Source organism: Homo sapiens, chromosome 9, assembly GCF_000001405.40.
Source record: "Homo sapiens chromosome 9, GRCh38.p14 Primary Assembly".
Classification (NCBI taxonomy): Eukaryota; Metazoa; Chordata; class Mammalia; order Primates; family Hominidae; genus Homo; species Homo sapiens.
The window spans coordinates 113733114-113742108 of record NC_000009.12 but is presented as its reverse complement, the minus strand read 5'-3'; the positions used below and the strand labels follow the sequence as shown (position 1 = coordinate 113742108).

General features: G+C 47.3%; 1 annotated feature.

Moving 5' to 3' along the window:
* Positions 2766–3314: an enhancer, noted in NCBI's record as "NANOG hESC enhancer chr9:116501075-116501623 (GRCh37/hg19 assembly coordinates)". NCBI's record gives its function as "activates a minimal SCP1, AML or CMV promoter by ChIP-STARR-seq in naive H9 embryonic stem cells {active_cell/tissue: H9 hESC(naive)}" and the evidence as "EXISTENCE:reporter gene assay evidence [ECO:0000049][PMID:30033119]".

The following is an 8995-nucleotide window of genomic DNA, read 5'->3' as shown; positions in this document are numbered from 1 at the left end:
TGGTTTAAGAAAAGGGCTTGTGCTATGCATGACATATGCGTCTCATAAAATAATGAATGCCCGCGCCTCGCAGTCCAGAAGATATTGTACAAGAAGCATTGTGGTCTGCATATTAAAATGCATCTAAGCAAATCATTAAATAAAAACAGAACCATTTCCATGGGGGAATAATGCAGCTCAACTCCTATTAATTGAGAACCTACTGTGCGCCTGTAATCCCAGCTACTTGGGAGGCTGAGGCAGGAGAATCTCGTGAACCCGGGAGGCGGAGGTTGCAATGAGCCAAAATCACACCACTGTACTCCAGCCCGGGTGACACTGTGAGACTCTGTCTCAAAAATAATAATAATAATAAGGATTGATAAGATATGGGCTTCATCCTCAAGACTCAGATTCAGTAAAGGTATATTAAGCTCCTATCCAGTATCTGGTGCTTTTAGACTCACCATCTCATTTATGAGATAGAGTGGTACAAGGATATAGGTTTCTGGACTCATATATAGGGGTGTCAAGCCCTGCTTCATTCCTTGGTGGTCTTATCACCTTGAGCAAGTCACTTACTCTCTCTGTGCCTCAGTTTCCACATCTGTGAAGTGGGGATAATAACTCACTCTTTGGTCTGTTTGAAGGATGAACAATAAAACGAGAAAACAGATTCTTAGGGGTTAAAGGGCTTGCTGGTGATCAAAAGTCTAGCAAATAGTGAAGCTGGGAGTCCCAGCCCTTCAGACTTCAAGCTTCAAGGCCTTTCTATTATGACATTCTGTCTCTTATCCCTGAAGTTTAACCATGCCGTGAAAACAGAGCAAGCTTCCATTTGGGGACTTGGTGTAAGCTCTGACACGATTTTCATAAATCTAAATAGTTATTCTATGATACCCACTTCACTCCACGTTCATCTTAATCCATGTGTCACCTGAAAAGATGGATGAGTAATTTGGAGACTTGATTGATGTGGGTTTTGCCTTATGACTTTCCTCGAAGTTAATGGGAGCCATGCGGTCCCAGATCCATGAATCACCCCAGCTGGAAATGCTCCATTAGAAGGAAAGAGAAAACAAAAGATCAGCAGGATGCCTGGAAAACAGTCACACTCAGGGTTGTGAGTTGATGGTAATGAAACTCCGTGTTTGGAAGCACAGAGAGGGTGCAGTGAGCACCGGGATTGGAGTCAGGGTTGGGAGAGGGTGCAGTGAGCACTGGGCTTGGAGTCAGGGTTGGTGGAGAGGGTGCAATGAGCACTGGGATTGGAGTCAGGGTTGGTGGAGAGGGTGCAGTGAGCACTGGGATTGGAGTCAGGGTTGGGAGAGGGTGCAGTGAGTACTGGGATTGGAGTCAGGGTTGGGAGAGGGTGCAGTGAGCACTGGGATTGGAGTCAGGGTTGGGAGAAGGTGCAGTGAGCACTGGGACTGGAGTCAGGGTTGGTGGAGAGGGTGCAGTGAGCACTGGGATTGGAGTCAGGGTTGGGAGGGGGTGCAGTGAGCACTGGGATTGGAGTCAGGGTTGGTGGAATGGGTGCAGTGAGCACTGGGATTGGAGTCAGGGTTGGGAGAGGATGCAGTGAGCACTGAGATTGGAGTCAGGGTTGGTGGAGAGGGTGCAGTGAGCACTGGGATTGGAGTCAGGGTTGGGAGAGGGTGCAGTGAGTACTGGGATTGGAGTTAGTGTTGGGAGAGGGTGCAGTGAGCACTGGGATTGGAGTCAGGGTTGGGAAAAGGTGCAGTGAGCACTGGGACTGGAGTCAGGGTTGGTGGAGAGGGTGCAGTGAGCACTGGGATTGGAGTCAGTGTTGGTGGAGCGGGTGCACTGAGCACTGGGATTGGAGTCAGGGTTGGTGGAGAGGGTGCAGTGAGCACTGGGATTGGAGTCAGGGTTGGTGGAATGGGTGCAGTGAGCACTGGGATTGGAGTCAGGGTTGGGAGAGGATGCAGTGAGCACTGGGATTGGAGTCAGGGTTGGGAGGGGGTGCAGTGAGCACTGGGATTGGAGTCAGGGTTGGGAGAGGGTTCAGTGAGCACTGGGATTGGAGTCAGGGTTAGGAGGGGGTGCAGTGAGCACTGGGATTGGAGTCAGGGTTGGGAGAGGGTGCAGTGAGCACTGGGATTGGAGTCAGGGTTGGTGGAGAGGATGCAGTGAGCACTGGGACTGGAGTCAGGGTTGGGAGAGGGTGCAGTGAGCACTGGGATTGGAGTCAGGGTTGGGAGAGGATGCAGTGAGCACTGGGATTGGAGTCAGGGTTGGGAGAGGGTGCAGTGAGCACTGGGGTTGGAGTCAGGGTTGGTGGAGAGGGTGCAGTGAGCACTGGGATTGGAGTTGGTGGAGGGGGTACAGTGAGCACTGGGATTGGAGTCAGGGTTCGGAGAGGGTGCAGTGAGCACTGGGATTACAGTCAGGGTTGGGAGAGGGTGCAGTGAGCACTGGGATTGGAGTCAGGGTTGGTGGGGAGGGTACAGTGAGCACTGGGATTGGAGTCAGGGTTGGGAGAGGGTACAGTGAGCACTGGATTGGAGTCAGGGTTGGGAGAGGGTACAGTGAGCACTGGGTTGGAGTCAGGGTTGGTCCCTGCTGTGCTGCTGTTCTTATTGTGGGCTCTTGAGTGCAAGTCATTTCTCCTCATTGGGCCTCAAGGTCCTCGTCTTTAAAATGGAAGTAATAATTCACCTTTCTCACAGGATAAAGGAATCATAACATTCCTGACCATAATTGAGTGCCTACTGTGTGTCAGGCCTATTCTAGATGCTTCACATACATTATCTTATTTAATCTTTACAAGGACCTCATAAAGCAGCATCGCCACATTTTGAAAATTAGGAAACTAAGACACAGAGAGGTTAAGTAACTAAGCCTAGGCCACCCAGCTGGGAAGCGGCAGAGATAGGATTTGAACACAGGCAGGCCGACTGTGGAGCCCTAGCCCATAGTCTCGACCAGTACTGCCTTGTGGGTATAAAAGCACTTTATGCACAGGTGACATCTGTCATTACCATTATGCTATCGTTTGTTGTGTCCTGATTCAGGCTCTCAATGAAAAGGCAAGATCAGAGAAAATGAAAAGAAGTTACTCTGCATGATAGTGAAAGACCACTCAGGGGACAGATGTGGCAGACACAATCACCAACACAATGCTTCATGCTTGCTCAACTAGGGAAAGAGGAATAGATGAGATGGAGCAAAGCTAGGGAGAGGGGCCCTGCAGGAGCAATTGATGAGAACAAAGTAAGAGGCGAAGCTCCAAATAGATATTGACCAGCCTCCATCCTTGAGTTTATAGGGGCGGGGGGGACCTTCTATATGCAAAAACGAGTGGGACAATGACAGGATGGGATAAATAGGTAAAGTCTTGACGTTTGAAAAGTGGTACATTAACCGGTAGTGACACCACCCAGGGCCTGTTAGAAATGCAGGATCTCAGGCCCCACTGCCAAGGCCTATTGAATCAGAATCTGCATTTCACTGGATACCAGACATTTCCTTTGCACGTTAAAGTTGGAGAAGCCCTACTTTAAAGCCATGTGCTGACAACTTGGGAGACTGTGCGGCAGTGGATCCAGAGGGAGAGTCATGACCTAGGGAGCAGATCCTATTTGAAAGATGCCGAGGCCGGGCACCTTGGCTCATGCCTGTAATCCCAGCTACTCAGGAGGCTGAGGAAGGACAATCGGTTGAACCCAGGAGACGGAGGTTGCAGTGAGTGGAGATCGCGCCACTGCACTGCAGCCTGGGTGACAGAGTGAGACAAAGAAAGAAAAAGAGAAAGAGAGAGAGAGAGGGAAAGAGAGAGAGAGAGGGAGAGAGAGAGAGAGAAAGAGAGAGAAAAAGAAAGGAAGAAAGAAAGGAGGGAAGAAGGGAGGGAGGGAGGGAGGGAGGGAGGAAGGGAAGGAAGGGAAGAAAGGAAGGAAGGAAGGAAGGAAAGAAGGAAAGAAAGAAAGAAGGAAAGGAAGAAATAAAGAAAGAAAGAGAAAGGAAGGAAGGGAAGGAAGAAAGGAAGGAAGGAAAGAAAGAAAAGAAGGAAAGAAAGAAGGAAAGGAAGAAAGAGAGGAGAGAAAGAGAGAAAAAGAGAGAGAGGAGAGAGAGAGAGAGAAAGAAAGAGAGAGAAAGAGAGAGAGAGAGAGAAAGAAAGAGAAAAGAAAAGAAAGATGCCCAGTTTATATTTTTGCAAAGGCAAAGGATGCAAAGTCATGGAAATTGAGTCACAGACAGTATAGGAATGGGTAACAGATACACACATATGGGATGAGGCTGCGGTATGCTCTGAAAAGCCTTCTTTTCAAAGACAAGAACTCTTAGAGTTCAGTGGCCCAGCTCAGTAGAAATGACACTGATTGGGGTCTCATCCGAGCCCTGACTACTGCCCTGTGGGACCTTGGAAAAAGCCAGATTAAGGAGTAGACTGCTGGACAACTGCCCAAGGCACAAATTCACCAGGTGAGCTGAAACACTGCTAGAATAAATTGGTGGAATCGATGGTTCCACTTCCACCAAAGTAGACAGCGCCCTCCAGTGGAAGATAAAAATACAGCGTTTCTCCCAAGCATAGCCCTCTGTTCTTCAGGAGGCACCAGAAGTTCTGTAAAGATGTGTTCCATGGAGCGGGGCTGTTTACTGGGAACAAGTGACTTCTTTCATTATCTAAATATAAAATCATTTAATATATCTGCCAAAAAGCTGTACAGTTTAGCAAGTTGCAAAAGAAAACTATATAGAGTATAAAGACCACAGAAAAGTGGGAAATGCTGGGCAGGCCTTTTTCTTGACGTAAACACCACCACTTCTGCCCAAGATTCATTAGTAAGAGAATCCCTTTTTCTGTGCAATTTCTATTAACAGCCAGTCTCTCTCTATCCTCTTGAAATACATGTTGGCATGGTGGCTCACGCCTGTAATCCCAGCACTTTGGGAGGCCAAGGCGGGTGGATCACAAGCTCAAGAGATCGAGGCTATCCTGGCCAACATGGTGAAACTCTGTATCTACTAAAAATACAAAGATTAGCGGGGCGTGGTGGCGGGCACCTGTAGTCCCGGCTACTCGGGAGGCTGAGGCAGGAGAATTGCTTGAACCCAGGAGGTGGAGGTTGTGGTGAGCCGAGATTGGGCCACTGCACTCCAGCCTGGTGACAGAGCGAGACTCCATCCCCCCCGCAAAAAAAAATACAATAAAATTAAAAAAAAAGAAAGAAATACATCCTGGGCAAATATTTAAGGCTATTTATTTGAAGGGTTACGAACTAAACTACCAGCCTGGACCACCCATGGTCCTTAATCCCACATTGCCCTTAATCTCTTCACCACCCTTTTCTTCCCTCCTCAGGAGTAGTAGGAGGCTCAACGGAGAAAGTGGATTTCAAAAAAATGCAACAAAGTGCCTCAAACTATAAACCCAGCAAGGGACTCTTCAGAGGCAGCAGCGTTGACAAGGTCCCCAGGTAGCATCACTGCTTCCTGCTCTGACGTGAAACGTCCTGGTAAAGAGATTGACTGAACATGAGACGAGGACAAAGAGGCAACATATGTGGACCAGAACCCGGGCCCTTTATACCAGACTCTGCTGTGAGTCTTTTAATGAACAGACATTTTGCTAGCTGCTGCTGGGAAAGTAGAGATGTTTGATTGTAATGCTTCCTTCAAAGAGCTTATAAGCTACTACAGATAGTGACTAATGACCAAGGCTAGATAGATTTGGTTCCAAAATTCTCTGCCATCTAATACCTGGATGACATCTCAGTGACCCTAGCAAGTCACAGCCCTTCTCGCAGTGCTGATTTCCTCGCCTATAACATGGGCAAAGCAATTCCTCTCATTAGGGATTGTTATGGCAGAAATTTCGTTCCTCTTGCCTCCCGTTTCCCCATGGACAGAACGCAAAAAGAGTAACACTCCTGGCCTCTTGCCCCGCCCCTTCCCCTCTACCCCTCAGAGGGGAAGTGAATGAGTTACCTGATGTGGGGCCACAGCCTTGGGACCACAGTTCTTGGTGGGTAGAGCTAAGTTATTAAAAGACTGTAAGACTAGGGATGTTTCCTCTTTTCATCCCTTTTCTCCATACCAGGGCTAGGCAGGAATCCTCAGTAGATGAGTGACTCTGAAGCCCAAACTTCCCCCAGCAGGCCTTTCCAAGTTCTCTATGGGGGACCCTGTATGGGATCCTGTATGGGTGCAAAGAGGGTTATGAGCCAGCCCTTTGACCACAAATAGGAAGTCATGCTCTCCAATCAGTTTATCAATAAAAAGCTAACATTGATGTCCATTCGCCAGTCTCCTGGATTTTATTTCCCAATTGATCCTCATTTCAGAAGGGGAGAGAGAAGTGATTTTTCGCCGAGCCTCTTAAAGTCTAACAAGGGGCCAGGTGCAGTGACTCACACCTGTAATGTCAGAGCTCAGGTAAGAATCGCGCTTGAGGCCAGGAGGTGGAGACCAGCCTGGGTGACAGAGTGAAACCCTGTCTCTTTAAAAAATAAAAAATAAAAAAATAATAATAAAAGTCTCATAAAGGCATGGTGAGAAGAAAATGAGATATGTATATGTATATAAATTACCTGTTTCATAAGAGGCATCAATAAAAGATGATTATAATCATGTTGGCCCAGTTAGTAACCCAGACAGAGACTTTTTATCTAGGCCCGGGAAAGACTGAAGTTGTCAGTAGAGGCCTCCATGAGGAAATCAAGCATAAATTGGGCCTGGAGAAATGAGGAAGGAAATGGGAGGGCATTTCAGACAGGAAGATGTACATGGGTAAAGGTATGGATTTCCTCAACATTTCTTGCCATTTGTCCATCTTTGACGTCACCCTCTCCCTTATTGGGGTGGTTAAGTCTTCCTTAAGAAGGAAGGGTGACATCACCCTCTCCCTTGTTGGAGTGGTTAAGTCTTCATCTTCATTCCTTCTGGGTGGTCCTTCTGTTCTCACAGCTCTCATCCACATACAGCCATTCTCCAATGTCAGCCTTCCCCTTTTCTCTCATAATAACAGAGGCTTCCCAGAATAAAAGCTATACTCCCCCACCTTCCTTGCAGCTGGGTTTTGTGCCCATGTGAGTCAGTTCTGGCTAATGGGGAGTGCGTGCCAGTGATGCGTATAACTTCCAGGCCATGCCTTTGAAAGAGAGGACACCTGCCCTTCCTGCTTGCATGTCCTTTCCGTGTTGGAGGACTCATTTCTGCCCTTCTTCCCAGAAGCCTTTCCTCATAACAGTGACAAATGAAAGCCACCTTGGATCATGTGGATAAAGAATACATCCCAGACCAACACAGAAGGAATCTGCATTATAGGCAGCTTTGTAAGGCAGAGCCTTCCTAATAACTAGGTGAGAAACAAATTAACTAGTATTTTATGTGAACTACTGTTATTTGGTCTCTGTCATATGCTGCCAGAATTATCCTAGCCAATACTAGCTGCTTATCACTGTTATAGGAGTGAAGGCTTCCTGGAAGAGGGAAGGGCAGGGATGTACCTCCAGGTATACAGCACAGCATAGATACAGGTATAGAAGCTGGATGAATTCATAGACCTGCAAGCAGCTGGGTATGTCTGGGGCCAAGTCTAGGGTGGAAGGAGAGTGGTGAAAGAGACTGGCAGGGTCCAGACCAGACAGGGTGTTTTATGGAAGTGACAGAATTTGGACTTTATCCTGCCTTAACCACTCCAACAAGGGAGAGGGTGACGTCAAAGATGGACAAATGGCAAGAAACGTTGAGGAAATCCATACCTTTACCCATGTACGTCTTCCTGTCTGAAATGGCCTCCCATTTCCTTCCTCATGGAAAGTCATGGAAGTGTTTGGGACATGTGAATGGACTGTGTAAAACAGCGGTCCCCAACCTTTTTGGGACCAGGAACCAGTTTTGTGGAAGATAATTTTTCCATGGACAGGGGGTTGGGGAGATGATTTGGGGATGAAATTGTTCCACCTCAGATCATCAGGCATTAGATTCTCATAAGGAGTCTACAACCTAGCTCCCTCGCACACACAGTTCACAATAGGGTCCAAGCTCCTGTGAGAAGCTAATAACACTGCTGATCTGACAGGAGGCAGAGCTCAGACAATAATGCTCGCTCGCCCACTGCCCACTGCTCGCTGCCTGCTGTGTGGCCCAATTCCAAATAGGCCACAGACCAGTTCCAGTCCAGGTCCCGGGGGTTGTGGACCCCTGATCTAAAACACAGAGTTAAACTGTGCTCTATAAAGACAATGCTGGCCTCAGTATTCACAGGGTTGGAAGAGCCAGATTAGGGATAGCTTATGAGAACCTAGCTGGTCTCCTGATTCCCAGGCTGGTGTCCCCCATCTGCCCCTGCAGGCACATCCCACACTCTTCTCCAGGATCTCACCCCTTAACTTAAGAGAACTCACACTCAAGAGAATGTTTGATTTTATGTTTGTTAGAAAGAGGTTTCTCTGGAACTACGTCTATCCCCACCTCTAGATCTCAACATTTAAAATAACTGAACTTTGGTACCCTTCAGAGCTGCGTCCTTAGCCAATTAATATTAGTTCCATTTTTGGAGAACTGAGTTGATCCAAAGTCAATGGGACCATGTTGAGAAAAAGTCAATAGGAAAATTTCAAATAAAGCCACTAATTGTCTCCTCATGGTGAGGGCTTCAACAGGATGGTGAGATTTGTTCTTAAATATCCAGGTGCCATAGGAGTTGCCTGGTCCTCAGGCCTGCACTCAGAAACAACTTCGCTGAAGGACGTCAAGCCCGCGTAGACCACACTATGAGCCCTCAAGTTATTTTACTTCCCTTCTCATCTCCTAGAGAACAGAAATGGTCTTTGCTCACTTCTACATCCTCTCAATGCCTAACACCAGTTATACCTTGTAAAAATTCAATAAAGCTTTGTCAAATTGGATTGGGCTCATCTATTCCTTACACTTCTAGTTAGTGAAATTTTACTCAGTTGGACGTCACAGTTTTTCATCAAGGTTCATAGGTATGCATGTAAGTATTGTAATTAGATGAAATCATGGTTTTTCTAGGATTTACTTC